The following is a 19196-nucleotide window of genomic DNA, read 5'->3' as shown; positions in this document are numbered from 1 at the left end:
ACCCTCCTTCAACCCTATTCCCATTTATTGGTCCCTTTTTCAGACCACTCCCATTTCTGTCAGGGTACCATTGATATCACTCCTCCTAGAATTTCTGCAATGGCGTGACCTCAGCTCACCGCAACCTCTGCCTCCTGGGTTCAAGGGATTACCTTGACTCAGCCTCCCGAGTAGCTGGGATCACAGGCATGTGCCACCACATCCGGCTAATTTTTCTATTTTTAGTACAGATGGGGTTTCACCATGTTGGTCAGGCTGCTCTCAAACTCCCAACCTCAGGTGATCCACCCACCTTGGCCTACCAAAGTGCTGGGATTACAGGCGTGAGCCACTGTGCCTGGCCCAGTTTCACTCTTCTAAGCTCTCACTGCGTTCTATTATTTTTCCTTCAAGATGCCTTTTGGATTTGCCCTTTCTCCTTCATTTGTCATGCTAATGCAACCCTTTTCCACTTTGTACCTGGAATATTGTGAAAGTTTTCTAGCCGGTGACATCACTAGTTACAAATGTTCTGACCTCTAACCCTATCTTACAAGTCCCAATTGAATCTTTATAAAGCATTAGATGTGATGTTATAGGTAATGAAATTAAACTCTTCCACAGGGCCCTTCAGCTCATTCATATCCTGACTCCACCCCCTCCATCTAACTTTATTCCCCACTGCACCCTAACACTTCATCTCCATCTCCAAGGTCAAGGTTCCTTCCTGGCCACTATACCACATCATGCTATTCCTCCTTCCTGAGATTTTGACCACTGGCCTCTCCAAACATTTTTGATCATACATTCTTATCAGAATGTTTTTTTTTAGATCAGAAACAACCACTAAGGATGGTTACTTTATAAATATTATTCTTGCATAACCCTGCTAATATGTTACACACATTATCAAACATCCATGAAAACTGACATTTTTAAAGGATGAGCTAAATAATATATAAGATGGAAGTTCACCTATTTCCTTGCCAAGTGAATAATCTTGCCCTTGGCCCGGGGTGTGGACATACCACATTAGAGACATGGATCCAGACCAAATACATCCATTCAGACCCAGAGGAGGCAGCTCTTCCTGTGGGAAGCCTTATCTCTTACTCCCACCCAAACTGAGCTCCACTTTCCTGAACTCTGAGAACACTGAAAATTATATGTAGTAAATCATTTAGACAATATATATTGCATCAATACTTTAAGTTTGATTAATTGAAGCTTGCATCTAGGATGCCAGAAATTTATAGATTTTTAGAATAATTCAATATCTTAATTAAAAATATTACTGTCTTCTCAAAATTGCTTGGGTTGGGCTCTACTCAATTACGCAACATCCATTAAAAGAAAACTCCAAGTCAGACTGAAGTTTAATTTCATTTATCTCATTAAATATCACGTGTGGATTCCCAGAGGTTTGAGGACTACTATTTCTACTTTTGTGGCCAATGAGACTTTTAGCACATTGCTTAACCTTACTCAATTTGAGTTTTCATTGAATCTGTAAAACAGAGGGCAAAATGTGACCATTAAAAGAGATAATAGGCCAGGAACAGTGGCTCACACCTGTAATCCCAGCACTCTGGGAGGCTGAGGCGGGTGGATTACCTGAGGTCAGGAGTTCGAGACTACCCTGGCCAATATGGTGAAACCCTGTCTCTACTAAAAATACAAAAATTAGCCAGGTGTGGTGACACACGCCTGTGATCCCAGCTACTTGGGAGGCTGAGGCAGGAGAATCGCTTGAACCTGGGAGGCAGAGGTTGGCAGTGAGCTGAGATAGTGCCACCGCACTCCAGCTTGGGCAACAGAGTGCGACTCTGTCTCAAAAAAAAAAAAAAAAAGATAATAAATATAAAAACTGAAATTATATATACATGTAAGATATATATATGTTACTATCACTAGTACACTCAGTATTTGCATATTATAATGTAAACTATATAAAGTACATCTGAGAGTTTTAAAATAATTAATCTCCTACCTCCACCTTGAGCTTTTTTTTCTGCAAATGAATTATTTTTATGTCCTCAATTTCATTCGTTCAGCTGAAAAACATAATGTCACCTACCTATACAGCTTGGGGGTCTTATGGGCCTGAGTTTAAATACTTGCTCAGCCAAGTATTAGCTGTGGGATCATGGCTGTCAGAGCTTTTCAGAGCTTCTCTTCTACTGGCCAGCTGGGGATAGTATTAACTTTGTGGGGCTCTCCTGCTCTTCTTAGGTTCAAATTATATGAGATATGTATGTAAAACAGCCAGTTTCTAACACATGCCCTTGAAATATTCATTTCCCCCCCAACTCCCTGTAACAGGCTTAGGAGAACTCAATGAGATGCTCTCATGGGAAAATTGAATGCTTTGAATTTTGGTCTCCTTGTAGACTTTGGTTTTTCCCAGATCTGCAGACCATTCATAATTACGCATGGATTTTCTGTTCTAGAAGCACCTTACTTCTGTGTGACCATTTGGGGTGCAGAGCCAGCACAGGTTTTGTGCTTGAATGCCTAGCAGTCAGAGCTGAAAAAGCAAAGCAAATCAACCTGTCTTCTTGCTCTTCCTTGGCATCTAGGCTACCAATGGTCCCAAAGTCTAGTCTAAATGCACACGCTGCCCATGAAGGCATTTGGGGACAAGCATGTGCACCCCCAGGGACAGTTCTAAGTTTTTCCTGTCCTTCAAAATTCAAGTCAATTAGCTGCTGGAAAAAAATCAATAACTCCAAGTTTTAAAAATCCAGTTTATAATGCATCTCCTCCAGCAGCTTTACCCAGCACATCCTTGCCAGAGTGCCCTAAGTTTAGACTCCCACTTTTTAACTTTCTATTTGAACTGCTAATTAAGATAATGCCTGTGAACGCCCTTTGTAAAGTGTAAGAAACTACACATATGTTAATTCTCCTTCTGAAGACATTTGAGTGCTTAACCATCCTTATCTCATTTGTAAATATCTTGTTTCCTTGCTATTGTGGATTGCAAACGGCCGCAGCATTTTCAGTGTTCTTGACTCCTCCCTTTTTCCTCTGAGGTCATGTACCACCCTGGAGCTCTTCTACAGCAACCAGCTTGCAGTCAATGCCCATAAACCTTGGACCTGCCCATCTGTCTGCCAAGACCCATGCCTGAAAAGAGTTCTATAAACATGGCTACATCCTCAGCCTCCTCTCTCAGCTCTCCCCCAGGCTGCGTCCCTGAACCTCGCAGCTTGTCTGTGCCCAGAGAATACACACTAACTGTGATGTTAGGGTAAAACCAACAAATAAACCCAAAACTTAGTGTTTCAAAAGGAAATATATTTTTTTTTTTTGATTTTTTTTTTGTTTTTTTTTTTTGTAACTCTGCTTTTAAGGAAAAAGGGGGAAAGCGAAATTCTGCAGAGTCAGGAAACAGGTTTCCTTGCTAGAGATAGAGACAGTGAGATAAAGGCATGGGGCTTCCCCCACACCCTGCAGCTCAGAAGTGTGGGACAGGAGTCTAAGACTTCCTGTTGTTGGCTGGTATTTACAGCTTTTTAGATGATATGTCCATTTTCCCCAGGCACTTTGGGGCCAAAACTCAGTATGCTGAGACTCAGAAATTGCTCTCAGTAGCTTCATATTTTGATTTTTTTTTGCACCATTCTTATCTATCTATTGCTCATCTGACATCTTTATATGTTATTTAAACAGTACTTATCTGGAGAAATATAACAGAGGTCAAGAAAGTACATACATACAGATACCTAAAACTCAAAAGTCCATCTCTTGTTCTCCCCCAATCACTAAAACTGCCCCAAGCCTAAAATTAATCTGATGGTTAACAATGCTAAATTAATATTAGCCAATAAAGTTATTCAAGTCTTTGAAACTTACAATTTTGCATCATTTATTTTTGTACACACACACAAAGGCAGGTATTAGGTTACTGAGTTGGGTTTCTCACCAAATAGCAAAAGCCAGGGAAGCCCAGAGGTGTTTAATAAACACTTGTTGACTGATTGATGGAATATACTACCTAGTATAATTCAGACAATGCATTCTTTGTCAAAACACTAAGGTAAATTATTGAGTCCACTTTTATTACCAAGCGTTTCTGCTGTATTGAGGAGGGCAGGCCAGCCCAAAACTCGTCCATCAGCCTCAGAGCTCAGGTTTACAAAAGAAACCCTTAGGCCTTACCTTTCACACCTGTTTTTACTCTCAGCAGAGGAGGCCGGGACTGGTCTCCATAAACAACTGTGTAGTTGGAGCCGTGCAGTCGGAGGCCCAGGCCTGATGCAGACCCAGCCACGCAGCACCTTTGGCTCTTTACTACGAATATTATCACGGCTGCAACAAATAGTTTGTGCACATTTTTTAAAAGAAAAAAAAAACTGAGAAGAGTATAAAACTGGAGAAAAAAAAATAGTATGTTAACTAATTTACAAAGCCCGGTTAAGTCTTCCTGCCTCATTCTTCTGAGAGAAACCAAAGCATTAAAATATCAAGCTCTTTGCTCTCCCCAGCAGTGGACATCCATGCTCATCCAGTTGAGTCGACCCTTCCGGAAAGGATGCCTGGGCCCATGACACCTTTACTTCTCTTTGCAGCTATTTCCTGCCTTTCTTTGCTAGGCCTTTAGCTTGGGTCTTGAGCAGATTTCGTGAACAGGGCGAACTGTCCTCTCCTGTTCTGCCATGCCCCAGGGATCTGTGCTTGCCTGGCCTGACTCTTGACCTGCAGCTCTCTCTGGGCTTTCTTGCTTGTTGATTTTTATGCCCACACCTCCCTACCTTTTTATAACCCCCTTTATCTCCACTGCCCACCTGCCCCCTAGAGTTGCCAGGTTTCTCTGCTTGGCACAACCCAGCCAGCTCTGACATGTAGCTGTACCTGAAGATGGTAAAGGCCCCCAAAACTATGTTTTCAACAACCAACATGTCTTGTAGTTATCCACCTTTTCCCGAATCAGAATCCTTCACCCCTTGCAATGTTGCCAACCTATTTCTATGTTGATAATCTGTTTTGTCATTTTGGAAATGTAAACAAATCAGTATACCTTCCTTTTCATCTTTTTCTTGTTATCGGTAGGAAAGTACAGGAAAAAAGGAAGAGAAAATGCATGAGAGATTGAACCTACTTATTCTACTATAAGGAATTCTCTTAAGCTCAGCATCTAAATCCTCTTTTCCCAATTCTTGCTTGGAATCTTGAGTACCTGATCTTGAATTTCTATGGCACTCCCTGAGCGCGGGACTGGCTGGTAGCCATGTGATATTGATTTGTTTTCACCATAGCAACAGCAAATTGAAACAACTAGCAGAGAGAAGGCAGGCTGTTAACCAGTAAAGCTACCTAACCAGTATATTTCACAAGCATATTTTTCTCCTTCCCTCTTGTTTTTTCTCTTATTTACTCCACTTTCACAAATTTAACACAAAAGTCAAAGGAAAAACAGCATTAAATGTTTTGGGCACTACAAGGCCTGTGGCCAGAATAGTGTGCTTTGCAGAGCTTCTAGTATATTAGATTAGATCGATGGAAAAAATGCAAACAACAACGCTTTGATTTCCTTGGAAATTTCATTTGTTGAACTAAGAAAAAGTATCCCTAAAAAATTTACATGAGCACAAAGTAGAGTGAAGGGTTTTGTGTATATGACTATGTATCTTAATACTCTAAGGTGTTTGCCAACAGTTTCTTAATACCGAGGTTTTATCCCTTTGTACTTTAAATAGCTCAATGTGCCAAGAGACAAACAACTTTTTTTTTTTTTTTTTTTTTTTTGGTAAAAGGTCAAGGTCTCAAAATGCTAAATGATGAGGGAAAGTGTAGCAAGTATGATTCAATTCTATTAAAAGACAGAAAAATCAAGGTAGGCACTTGCTCAAAACTACGTGAGTAGTCAGAGAGGAGACACAAATTAGCTTTGGGAACTCCCGAGAACTCCAATGTGCTCCAGTCAAAATCTTTTTTAAAAGGTTCCTTTGTAAACATTACCCTTCCCCCGATCTCTGTGACCAAGGTTGCCACCTGTGACATGGATTTGCAGCCTGCAGTATTGTACTTCCCCTGCTTGGGGCCATCTGTGCTAGGACATGATGATTTTTCTATGAAAGCAGCTGTTCTCACCATCACAACCAGCCTTGAACTTGGTGGCACAACCTGGATCCTAAATAGTGGCTCTGGAGCAACTGGGAATAGGGCCCCGGGGACCATCCACCCAGGTGGCAGCGCTGGGCTGCACCAAGGGGGAGTCAGGCCAGAAAAAAAGCTTTGCCCTGCTCCCTGCTGCTTTTTGCCAGCCCAGCCAGAAGCCCTGCAGAAAACCTGTGCTGACCGGCCCGACATGTGGCAGGTACAAGAAGATGCCCTATTTATGAGGGGACAGGTTTACAATTTACAAAAGACAGGCGAAAATATAAAGACATAACTTAAGTCCTGCCAGTGGGGAGTTAGAATGTTCCTGGCCAGGACATAAAGAAATATTCCTCTCCACAAGCTCGAATAAAGGAACACACAGCAGAAATAGTTGGGGGATGACGTCAGAAGTTCTGGGCTAGTGTCCTGCACTTCTCCTTGAAAGTAAAAACAGTGGGTCTAGAAGAATCTACGTGGCATTGCCCTTATTTAAATGAGTAGTTCTACTGCTCCTTGCAAAACAAGTAGGATAGCTGAAGAAACTTCCTCTTATTTAAAGATTATAAGAATGTTCCCCCTGCCTTTTTTAAAAACCTTATTGTCCCCAAAACACACACATTACCCAATTAACAAATAGCTTTCCACTTAACCTTTGTCTTTTAAAGGGACAGTAATGTTTCTTGTAGAACATTCAAGGTGGTGGTGGTTAGGCAAGTCAGATTTTTTTCTTCGCTTCAGTGCTTGCTAACTATTCTAAAAATGTTACACATTTATTGTAAACACATGCTTCCGAGGCCTAACAAAAAAGCACAGTTTCCTCATGCCTGGCAGAAATTTAAAACGGAAAAGGGCAGAAAGAATTCTTTAGCAAATATATCCTTTCCTTCTCCTGGGCCAAGTGTGTTAAAAATAAATCTTCTCCATCATTTCTCACTGCTGCTTCTCAGCGAGAAAGTTGATATGGTTCGGCATAGTGAAAACACAGCTTTAAAAGCTAGCCTGCCCTCATTAAATTATTCTGCTGGCTGTGTGTTCTCATTAAAAATGCATAAAGATCAGATAATTGCAGTAAGCATTATTAACCCAGCTTTACTTTTGAATATAATGGTTCCACTTTTAAGCTGGAAACAAAGGCTCAGACATGCCAGGAAAAGAAATGTAAACATTGAACTACAGTATCGAAAACTTGCCAGAAAGCTACCTCTTGCTAGGTTGTTTAAAATGTGCTTTTGAAACTCAATTAAAGCTGTAGCATTGTAGAGCTAGGTAGGTCCCTAATTTTTAATAAATAGACACATACGTTTGGCCAAACATTCAACCGATGATTATTTACCATGAATTTTTTTTTAATCCTTAATTGCAAGTCTGTTTTCAAATAATAGGATCCATGTAAACTTTATCTATTTGGGAACTAGCTATGGCAATATAACAATTTTTCACAGCAAGAAAATAAGATTGCTCCAAAGAATTCAAATGGTTTTTAAAAAATAATATAATAAATGAATCGATTCTTTGCATAAAAACTCGATTTCTTGCCTCACCCCAAACAGGCGGCATAGATTCAAGCTTTGCCATTTCTTTTTCTCAAATCAAAATGTTACGTAAAACTCCAGGGTCCCCCGCAAGTATTACAATTGAATTAGTGGAATCCAGTTTCCCTGGCTCCCGTAAGCAGCACACATGGAATGCAGCATACTGCAGCAAACTCTTTAAACATTCAAAAAAGGGGGGCGATTCTCCTACCTTGTTTAGCTCTGCCTGTCCTTCCCATTTACAGTAACCCCAGGAACATCTGGCAGAACCAAGTGGCCGAGGCTTCTCCACCGCATCATGAGAAAGAAACTTCCATGTAAATAGTTCTCATTCCCTGTTTATTGTACTCTGAAAGCCGTCTGCCGTATCTGGAAAATTTTACCTTCAGATGATGAAGCAAAGACAGTCTAAACTCTGTTGCTGTAAGCTGCAGCCCTTCCTTCCGACAAATCCCTCCCAGCCGGGGCCAGCCAATCCCCAGCCAGCTCGTCAGCCCTACTCGTCTGAAACTGGCCCTAATAGGATGACTGACACAGTAACACAGCACTTGCAGTGTGTAAAAACAGTGCATCCATACTGATGAAAGAGGAATTTCCCTCTCAGAAGAAAGCAATCATAGCACCAAGACAAAGTGGCACATAATTGGCAGAGCAGAGAGAGGGGTAGCTCAAGAAAACACCCTTGAAGACAGCCAGCTCGAAGCCAGGAGCTTCACCGTGAACACTTGGGAAAATGTGAAACTCCGCAGATTCCAAAGAAATCCAGGTTGTACATGAAACTGAAGTCCTTGGACTATCTGACAAAGCATATGTATATGTTTTTTAAAGGAAAAATAATTCAACGTCTGCCATGGCAGTTAATACCTTACAAAACATTTACATATTTCCATTATTGAGGAAGAATGTGCTAGCCCAAGTGCGTATTCAAAATCAAAACATGCTTATAGCTCTGGCACACACAGGTTTCCTGTATAACATCTGTTATTGCAGTGGTTAATTACTGCGGCCCATTTATCTTTCGTCTAAGTTTTCAGACCACTTGGGACTTCGATTAGGGAATGCTGGACAATAAAATTGATATCTATACACTACCCTTTTCTACTCTTGGCAGGCACCCACGAGAGGATTAGGTGTGCTTTAACCATCTTAGATGCCATTTGATAAATACTGTGCATTGGCTCACATTATCGTTAATGAAGCAATGATTATAGGAAGATGTTTACTGTTGAATACAAGGGGTACATGATCCAAGGGCCCCCATGAGGTGCCATTCCACAAAAGATGTTCTAGGAGGTGCTGGAGTTTCCTGAGATAAAGCAGAAGAAGAGAAAGTTTAGGAAGGGTTATTTATTTATTTATTTATTTATTTATTTCCCAGTCTACAGCATTTCTGTATGCCTTGAAAACAAAAACTCAAAAACATATGGCATTGAGCAAACACAACAAGCATACATTTTCCTCCCCTAAATACCACATTTTGAGAAAAAAAAAGTATGATGATTACATGATGAGACCAAGACAGAACAAAGCCTTTATTCATCTGAAAGGTTGAACCCAATGCACGATTTTTATAAGCAACTGTTCAGCGCATCTGTAATGAAGCAACAGAATGCAATGGAATGCTTTCTTTTTATTTTGCCATTGCATCTTAAAAACATAATATTTCATATAATTTCTAGGCTACTTTCTTCAATAACTACCATGCTTTATTCCCCTCAGTTTTTATACTTACATTCTTTGTCTTCCCCATGTAATTCTATCACATATCCTAACTTGCAGGCTTTCATCTACTGTAATACTTCTGGAAATTTAAATTAGTTCTGTGGTCAAACAGATACAAACTACTTTTAATTATTAATATACTTAAACAGATTTGTGATTCTCCTCTTCCTCATCTCCCTCTGCTGTCTTTGAAACTATCATTCCATGAATCCCATTCCTGAAACTTCAGTTATCTTTGACACATTCCCCCATTCTCAACCAATGAAACTAAGCCTTGTTGATTTTCCCTCCCAGGTAGGCCAGAACTCTGACCTATTACCTGGAAAACACAAATGCTAACAAGGCAGTCTCTGGAACTCAGGCCTCCTCATCTTCAAGCTCCCTTGTTGCCAGACGGGTTTTTTAAAATCATGTAAAGTCATGTTCCTTTCACATTCAAACCTTTCTCTCTATAAAATCTGAATTATAGACTTTCAAGGGCCTTCATAATCTGGGCTCTCCCTTTCAACTCAACTTTTTCTCCACTGTTTTCCCAAGTGAACTTCCTGATGGAGTCATGCTTATTTCTGCCTTACTCAATCTTTAGACCTCAGCTTACCTTTCCCTTTATTCTGTCTTGTCTTCTGTGGCCACATTACCCTCTCTGATGTTCTCCTGTGAAAGCATTCTGTATTGTTTATTGTACCAGACGCTTTGAAACCCTTAACAATGTAGTCTTCTGTAGTTAGCTTGCCTGAGTTGATTTTTCCATCTCAGAAATCAAGGCTTGTGTCGTATATTAATTAAGATAATGCACACAAAATGTCTATGCAGTGACTGGCACATAATAAATGCTCACTAATGATAGCCATTCTTACTGGTATTTCTAAATGCATTGTTCATTGCAGTTAGCAAAATGCCATGCACAAACTTGCTGACTTCATGATTCCTATCTCAAGAATTGATATCATATTCATCCAACTGCATGAGCTAAAAACCTGGCAGTCATTCTTAAACCTCCTTCTTCAACCACCATTTGAAATCCATTATCAAAGTCTTTCAGGTTTAACACCTAAATATTTAGAAATGTTTCACTTTGCTTCATCTCTACCAGTGGCTTTGTCCAAGCTATCGGTATCTTTTATCATGATGATTTAAATAGCCCCTTAACTGGTCTCCTGAATATATTCTTGACCCCTTCAAACCTTTTTTCACACTTCAGTCAGAACAGGAATTAAAAAACAAAAGTCTAATTTTTCCACACTCCTTTGTGTAAAACCTTTGCTGTGGACTGAATTGTGTCCCCCTAACATTTATATGTGGAAGTCCTAGCCCTCAATAGGAAGGTATTTGGAGATGGGACTTTTGGGAGGCAATTTAGATGAGGTCGTGAGGGTGGAGTCTTCACGATGGGATTTGTGTTCTTCTGAGACACCAGAAAGAGGCCTGTTTCTCTCTCCCTTTACCATGTGAAGACACAGCAAGAAAGCAGCTCTCTGCAAGCCAGGAACAGAGACCTCACCAGAACCTGACCATGCTGGCACTCTGACGTTGGACTTTCAGCCTCCAGAACTATGAGAAAACAAACTTCTGTTGTATAAGCCACCCAGTCTATGGCAGCCTGAGTTGACTAAGACAACCTTTAACTCTCTTTAGATTGCTTTTAGGAAAAAGATAAAAGCCCTCAACATGGCCCATGAGGCTCTGTGCCATGTAGCCCCTGCCTGCTTCTCTAGCTTAGCCAGAGGCCGTCTGTTCAGGGAACCCTTCCCTGACCCACAGGATGAGTTCAGATCTACTTCTTGTTTTCTCTCATAGCCCTGTGAACTCCAGAGCAGTGCATCTCAAATGTTAATGTGCATGCAAATCTCCCAGGGGTCTTGTTAAAATGCAGATCCCATCTCCATAGTTCTTGGGTGGATACTGAAATTCTGCTTTTCTAACAAGCTCCCAGGTGACACTGATGGCTCTTGTCCACGGACTATTCTTTGAGCACCAAAATGTTTATGGATGTTGTTTGCTTCATAGCACTTATTACAGGGGATGGTTATACATTAATTTGGTTATTGTTATTTATTTACTTAAGGTCTACCTTCTGAGCCAGACTGTTGGCCTCAGAAGTCACAATTGACTCTCTAACATCTAATCTAGTATGTTCGTGGCACACGGTGGAGGCGCTCCGTAACACATGTATGTTAAATGAATTAATTGATGGGTACAATGTCCTACAGATCCAAGCTGGACTTAATCTTTTTTCTTTTTTCTCTTCTTCCTCTTCTTTCTCCTTTTCCTCCTCCTCCTTCTTCTTTCCTTATTTTTCTATATCTACATAAGTTCCTGGAAACTCTGGATAGAAGCTTAATTTTTCCTGAGGTCATGACATGCTAACTAGAAAGCAGAATGTTTGAGAAACTAAAGAACAAGTAGCAAGAAGATATCAACTATATTCAAGTAAAGGAGGTGGCCAGAGGAAAGAAAATACAAAACAGTACCTTCGAATTTGCCCAATAGAAATTGTCAGTTGTCTTGTACAGTTTGATAAATTCGAGATCTATCACTCCATCCTTTTCTTTTGACCTCTAGGCCCAGTTTTTTTTTTTTGTTTTGTTTTGTTTTGTTTTTGTTTTTTTTTGAGACAGAGTCTCGCTCTGTCGCCCAGGCTGGAGTGTAGTGGCGCGATCTTGGCTCACTGCAAACTCCGCCTCCCGGGTTCACGCCATTCTCCTGCTTCAGTCTCCCAAGTAGCTGGGACTACAGGCACCCGCCACCACGCCCAGCTAATTTTTTATATTTTTAGTAGAGATGGGATTTCACCGTGCTATCCAGGATGGTCTCAATCTCCTGACCTCATGATCCGACCTCCTCAGCCTCCCAAAGTGCTGGGATTACAGGCGTGAGCCACTGTGCCCAGCCGGCCCAATTCTTCACCTAAATGTACCAGAGATGACTCATTTTTACCTTGTCCCAAACTAAAATCATTTTTTATTTGATCATTTCCCATTTCAATAAGTGAAAGCATCATTTCTCTTACGTTTCCCACTTTGGTAAATGGAGCCACCATCTTTGATGCCTAACTCTTTATCATCACCAACAACCAAATGGTCCCACACCCTGTGAATTCCTGTCTCTGGAATCTATCCACTCCTCTCCATCTTTACTGTTGGGCCCCTAATTAAACCCCCCACCACCTTTTACCTGTTCCTTACCTCTCTGCCTCCAATTTTGCCCCTCACCTTTCACTCCATTTACCACACCTCAGCCAAAATCATCTTTTTAAAAATGTTTACATGCATAAACTCACTCCATGTCTCCTCATTATCTTCCAGAGAAGTCCCCTAACTAGTTCCCAACTATCTTCTTTCACCCTCCTCTTGAAGTCACTTCCTTCCTACCTTTACATCCAGTATTATTAAACTAACTTTAGTCCCTCAGGTGTGTCATGTCTTTTCTAATTTAGAGCCTGGATTCCTTCTTCATGAAAAATCTTCTATTCCTTTCACACCCATCTAACATCTTTCTATCCAGCAACACCCAATGTACACATCACCTCCTCCAGGAAGCCTTCTTTGACCACCATGACTCTCACGGCACCTTGACATTTTATTCATCGTAGCAATTGTCACAGTACATAGTAAACATGTCTTGCTTGTTTATGTACCTCGCTAGAATCTATGAGGGAATGAACCATGTCTTTCCTATTCATCAGTTTATCCCCAGTGCCTAGAACATGCATTGCATAATAGCAGACACTTTCTGAATAGTTGTTGAATGGTTAAATGGATAAACTTGGAAATGGCACTGGTAATAAGGTGATAAAGACAGTTACAGGGCTTAAGTAAAAAAATTGGTAGAGAAGCCATAGAGACATATATATTATGTATAATGTATAATTATTATATATAATATGTGTACTATATATTATATGCATACTGTATATGATATGTATATATCATATATTATATACAACACATATGTGTATATATGTATATATTACATATTATGTGTATATTATGTTATATGTATATTCTATATTCTATAATATGTATTACGTATATATTATGTATTATGTATACATTTTATATTATGTATATAATATGCATATTATACATTATATGTGTATTATATATTATACTCTATGTATGTGTAAATATACTACATATGTAATAATATATATCCATGCATGCACACACACACACAAGCACACATGCACGAATTTAAAGTTGGACCGGAGAAGGAAAAGAAGCAATGCATAAAAGCTGAAAGGCACAATGCAGTTATGAAGTAATCTCCTTTGCTGGGCATACCAAAGTTAGCAAGCTTATAGTCAAGGAGAAAATTAATGTTTGATGATGTTTAAAATCATGGTGATTTCCTGAGAAACAGAGTCTCCCTTTGAATAGAAAAGGATAGGTGTCTTAGGACAGATGGTAGTGTTTGGTTTACTGGAAGAGATGGCCTGGTCCCTAGAAAGGAAGAAAAAGTTGTTCATAGCAAGAGAGAGATGAGACAGAAAGGTAAGTTGCTGACGGGCCTGGTCTGTGATTATTCAATCTTAGGGCTTATTTCTCTCTCAACATAATGTTTCAAGCCTATCCCGCCTCTTTGTCCTTTAGTATGTACTGCTATTTTTTACTTTTTTTTCTAGTTATTTCATGTATAAACCAAATCATAAGCCCCCTGAGGGTACAGACCTTGCATTAAAGTACTTTTCGTCATCCACAATGCCGAACATGGAGTGGTGCTGAATTCATTTTGGTTGATTGATTTCTATTTAGGATTCTGGAGAAAATTTACATACTTTCGAAGAGATTAGTATTTTTTTTAACATGTTGGTTGAAAATGCAGCAGGGAATAGAAAATTGGTTTTATAATTTTCAGAAAAAAAAAGTTATGGTGTTTTTTCCTGAATTTATCGCAAGAAATGTCAACTGGTTTTTAATTTTTCTCCAGTAGGTCTAGAGGCAGAAGATGGGAAAATTAGGACTAACATTTTCTGGGTTAAGGAAAATAGGAGGAAGCAAATTGCATAAAGCATGTAAATGAAATCATGTGTGAGACTCCCTTAGCATAGAACATGGTACATAGCAGTGCTCAATGTCTGTTAGCCACTATTTTTACTGCTACTATTATCATTATCAACATCATCATAGCCCTTAGGGCTTAGAATCCTAGTGAGAGTGATTTCTGTATGCCAAAAAAGTGATAACTAAAGTAGAGATTTCCAAACTTCCTTGCTTCATGACACTCTTGGTATTCCATAATTTTTTTCACTGTGTCCCTAGGCCAAAAATAATACCTAATTGTTCCATTTATTAAATAGCTATATCCAAATACCTTAGTAAGTGCTTATGTTTTAACAAGTAAGGAGTTATATGAAAAGTTAATGCAAAATATTTGAAAAAAAACATTTTTCTTACATGCTTAACTCGAATTAGTTTTTAATGGATTGTAGCATGCCTATCTCAAAGCTTGAAATCAGTTTGCAACCACAACTCTCATTTCCTGTTCCACATTGCTTCTTGCATGGTACTTGTTTTATCAGCTTAACAACTACTAAAAACCCAGCTTTGCAAAGATATATGTTACCATCAAAAGGAACAAAGTGTGATTCTATTGAAATCATGAATTACCTTGAGCTAGTAGGTCGCACAGTGTCTGACAGATGATGAATATTGCTGTATTTCCTTAGAAAATGTACAGCAGCCCATGGAACCCCAGTGAATTCACTACAGTTTCCTAGGGTGCCTGAGAGCATGGTTTGGGAACCATGGCACTAAGGCAAAAGTCCCAATAGTTTGGCCAATGTTAACTGTCTCATTGTTTTTCTGGTTTGATGGTCATATCATGCCTCCTGACCCAGGCCTAAGGGCATTTGAAGTCGCAGAGAGGAGGTCAGGTCAAAGGTTACAGGACATGCCCAGCCCTTAAGCTGTGGTCATGTGAAATCCTCCAAGCGTTGGAGATGGGGGCGAAGCCTATGGTTCTCCAGGATTGCAGATGTTCTCTGGGCCAAAGAAAGAACACTCTGAGGCAGGGGCTGAGTGATCTGCCCACAGTTGATGGGCCTGGGAACTTGCCAGGATCATCCACCTTTCCAAATGGTGAATTGTAAATATAAGCACAAAGAGGAAGCAGCAATGAGCATTTCCCCTGTCACTGTCTTCAATAAAATTACAGACTTCTTTTGCAGCTCCTGACTGCTATTCTTCTGGGCTGGCTGAGGGATCACTGTGCATCTGTCACTGTGCTCACTAGAATTCGCCCTTTCTCCTATAATAAAGGATGAGTATTCTCAGCCCCTTCTCCACCTCCTTCTATGAAAGTGGTGTTTCTGACAGAGAATGTCCAAGCCTGAAAGGTGGGTCTCTAAGCTGCAGGTGAGGGCTGTGATCTCCCTCCTGTTGGGATACTTGAAAGTAAGATTTTTCTGTCTATAACCTTCTGCCCACCTTCTGACTGAGGGGCCAGGCTGAACATGGGTCCAGTGGCTATCGGATGGAAGGACATACACTCATGTGCTATACTTTTCCTTTTGTTTCTGGAGCATTTACTGCCTTTTGTCAAAATTTATAATCTACTTGATACTCATTACTGGTTGTCCAGTACCCAACATATGGGACTGACAATAAATATTTGTTAAACAAAATTTAGCAGGACTGAAATATGGTACAGGATGAGTAGGAAATTGGGTTTGAGACACAAGGCCAAGGATCAAAGCTAATGTGGCATTTCTAAGGGACTTCCAAGGGTCATTAAAGCCAAGTTTTAAAAAACCAGGAAAGAGTCGAAAAGTCAAAACTACCAATTGAGAGTATCACTTTGGTGTCACCAAATAGTGTATGCTATGGCAGAATCAGGATTTTCTATTTCTTTGATGCTTGATGAGCAGCTTAGATCCCTACAAAGAGTTTTTAATGGAATCAAAGGGTCTTTAATAACCTTTTCTTTAATGGAATGAGAATAACGTAACTTGTTCTTCAACGGTTCAGAAGTGGGTGGGTTCTAGCACAAGACTGTGGTGAGATTGTAGGAGTCTCTGTAGCAGTGGAAGTATGTGAGCCTGCTGCCTGATGAAGACATTGTCATCTCCAACAGGGAGTATGGAATGGACGTGGGGAATAGATGAAGCATATAGCATGTGTGTTATTGTAGTGTGATGACAATCTTGACTTTAAAAATTAAATGCAACTGGTTTTGATTTACTACAATATACCGTTCCTGAAGGAAAGACTTGTCAGTGCTCCTATTCCCCTCTCCATCTCTTTCTGTTTATTTTAGGATCACCACCCTACCTAGATCCACTTGTTCACTCATCTGATTAGGGTTTATCACGTGACTTGCTACATGTTGGTCCCAATTGAAACATTCATGATGTAAAGATAAGCAAGATGTAGATGGGACCCCGAGAATCTCACATTATTTCACATGATCCCCAAAGTGAGATCTCTGGGCACTCATCTCAAATGTTTCTGAAGAAAAGGACCCAGGGCTAAGTTTGGAAACCGTTGAAATCACTCATTAAATGTGTGTTTTTACCGAAGGACCTCTCAGAGCCTTGATTCTGGGAATGTGCATTGCAAATTTCCAAGACGGGGTTTTCTAGTTCACTGTGTCTGAGAATTAATTTTACCAGAGGCTCTTTTACTTAAAAAAAGAAATCTAACTAGTATGGTGTTCTTGGGGGTTTTATTTTGGAAAACTCTGGCCCAGGTAAAATGGTTTTTTTTTCCTGTTCATTAGACCGTGTCCATCTCTGCTTCTGCCTATCTTTCTTCACATTCAGAACTTCCCTCACTCTCTTCTGTCAACAACCATAGCTTCTAGATCTTTCTTTGTCACCTCTATTCAACCTCATTCAACTCAACCTCTTTTATTTGATGCTATATGTTCTTACTTGACTGAGGTCCTTAGCTTTACTAACTTGAGGCATCTAGCACACCTCAATGCTACTTTCTATTTGTTTCTCACAACCATGGTTATCTGGGAAGTCCCTGTGGCTCCAGGATCTCCTGTCTGGACCAGATCTTCACAGTAGCCTTTCTCCTCAGGCAAATCTTAGAGAAGATTTGCCCGGGTTTTTCTGACCAGTAGAGGGCCCTTGGTAGCTGTCTAGTGACCTATGGGCATAACTACCCTTCCAAAGCTTAACCCTGTCTAAATTCCATGTTTCAGCGAAAACATCAATTTCTGGAAAATGTGTTACTCATCTCTTTCCTCCATCAAATGCTACTCATGACAAGCACTTCTGGGGTGCTCACATAGTGTTGACGACAAAGAGAGACATCTATTTATTAAATATGTACATAGTGATTATACTGAGTCAAGCACAATGCTATTGTGTGAAATCCATGACACTATTATTATCTCAGGTTTACAGATGGGAAAACACCTGAATGATTAAGTAACCTTTCCAGGGTCGCACAGCTGGCAGGTGGTGCAGCCCATTTGCCCCAGGCAGGCTGGCTTCAGAGGCCATGTTCTCTACTGCGACACCTCACTGGCTCTAAATGTAATAGAAAAATTATATGGCAAATCAGAAGGTGCTAAGTGCAAAGAAAAAAGTAAAAGGAAAAGGAGAATTTGGGCCTGGTAGAGGGGATCAGGCAATCAGGTGGAGCTGGGAGGGGGTAGCTGTGGCTTCTACTGTGGGGGTAGCTGTGGCTTCTACCGTGGGGCCAGGACAGGCTCATGCAGAAAGCGCCCTCTGAACAGAGACATGTAGGGGTGAGGGAGTGTGTTTCCACTGTCAAATGAATAGAAATCTCTGGAGAAGTGTGTTCCAAGCAGAATATTCAAACCCCAGGAGCAATTCTGGAAAACGTTCATGTGGGAGGGACTTCTGCATGCAACCACTTTGGCCTCTAGTTTGCCTGAGTCCCACCCCTTGTTTCTGAATTCCACTGATACTGTTCTCTTTGTACAAAGGGCACCATTATCAAGAGCCATAGCACGGTGGCTTCTGCCTGTCTTTCTTCAAATCCAGGACTTTCCTCACTCTCTTCCCTCTATCAGCCACCATAAGCTTGGAGATCTTTCTTTGACACCTTTAGATATTTCCCCATCTCCCCTTTCCCTAAATCCAAAATACTGCTATCTCTTTCCCAGTAGATTCATCACACTAACTCATTCCGATATCCATTTAGATCTCGGCATATAGTCTTGATAAATTAAAATTTCAAACTTACGTAAAATGTTCTGCCTATTCTCCCAAGGACATGTGCTATGTTTTATAATGAAATTTTAATCTTTATTTTTAAAATAATTTGTGCAAAGAGAAGGCATCTGGCTTTGTTTTATCTGCTACAGAAAAGGGATCATGTCATGGGTATATTCTTTACCAGAAATGGGCAATTATTTTGCCTTCCAGCTGGATTAGAGAGAAAAACAGGCTCACCTTAGCAACAGCATTCTGATGCTGATGTCATCACCTCACATCATTTTGGTCTCATGTCACTGCATTCTTTCTCTAAAATCTCAAGCCACAGCTTTATAGATCTCTGCATTTAGAAGGCTTAATGAAAAAGGAAGAAATAACCATACTTAAATATTCACTGAGTCATTCTAATCTTGAACTCTGTTAGCAGGTCCCTTTTCCACAGCAAAACAAAATGAGAATTGTGCTTTTTCTACTCCAGTTTTTGCTGCAGCTTTGCCTGCAACCCTCGTCTCTCTCAAGCTCAGGCCCACACACTCCTGCTCTATACCCCCAACCCATGGGATTGCCAACCTCTCCAACAAGCCTAATCACTTACAAATAGAATGATTTTATTTCGCAAAGCAGTCCAATCCTGAGACGATTATGGTGAGCTTACAATCATGGATCCTAGGGCTAGAAGAAATCTTTCATCTACACCCTAGCTTCTTATTTGAAGATGAGGA

At 40.3% G+C, this 19196-nt stretch overlaps 1 protein-coding gene across 55 annotated transcripts in view, besides 2 other annotated features; it reads right to left on the bottom strand.

Moving 5' to 3' along the window:
* MBNL2 (muscleblind like splicing regulator 2) overlaps positions 1-19196 on the bottom strand; it is a 252287-nt gene that overhangs the window by 163762 nt on the left and 69329 nt on the right. For 26 of the 55 annotated variants that reach the window (NM_001382668.1, NM_001382663.1, NM_001382680.1 and 23 more), the window contains exon 1: positions 7828-8026. The exons of 14 other annotated variants lie outside the window; for them this stretch is intronic. The gene's annotated coding sequence lies outside the window, so the exon portion shown is untranslated. Of the gene's footprint in view, positions 1-7827; positions 8923-19196 lie in introns of those variants that run through there. 15 more of the 55 variants (XM_047430004.1, XM_047430002.1, XM_047430006.1 and 12 more) reach the window with 5 other exon arrangements.
* Positions 2508-3290: an enhancer, noted in NCBI's record as "OCT4-NANOG hESC enhancer chr13:97879323-97880105 (GRCh37/hg19 assembly coordinates)". NCBI's record gives its function as "activates a minimal SCP1, AML or CMV promoter by ChIP-STARR-seq in naive H9 embryonic stem cells {active_cell/tissue: H9 hESC(naive)}" and the evidence as "EXISTENCE:reporter gene assay evidence [ECO:0000049][PMID:30033119]".
* Positions 7945-8004: an enhancer, noted in NCBI's record as "active region_7887". NCBI's record gives its function as "activates an Ori minimal core promoter by ATAC-STARR-seq in GM12878 lymphoblastoid cells {active_cell/tissue: GM12878}" and the evidence as "EXISTENCE:reporter gene assay evidence [ECO:0000049][PMID:35858748]".

This window comes from Homo sapiens, chromosome 13, assembly GCF_000001405.40.
Source record: "Homo sapiens chromosome 13, GRCh38.p14 Primary Assembly".
Taxonomy (NCBI): domain Eukaryota; kingdom Metazoa; phylum Chordata; class Mammalia; order Primates; family Hominidae; genus Homo; species Homo sapiens.
This window is presented reverse-complemented; position numbering and strand designations above follow the sequence as displayed.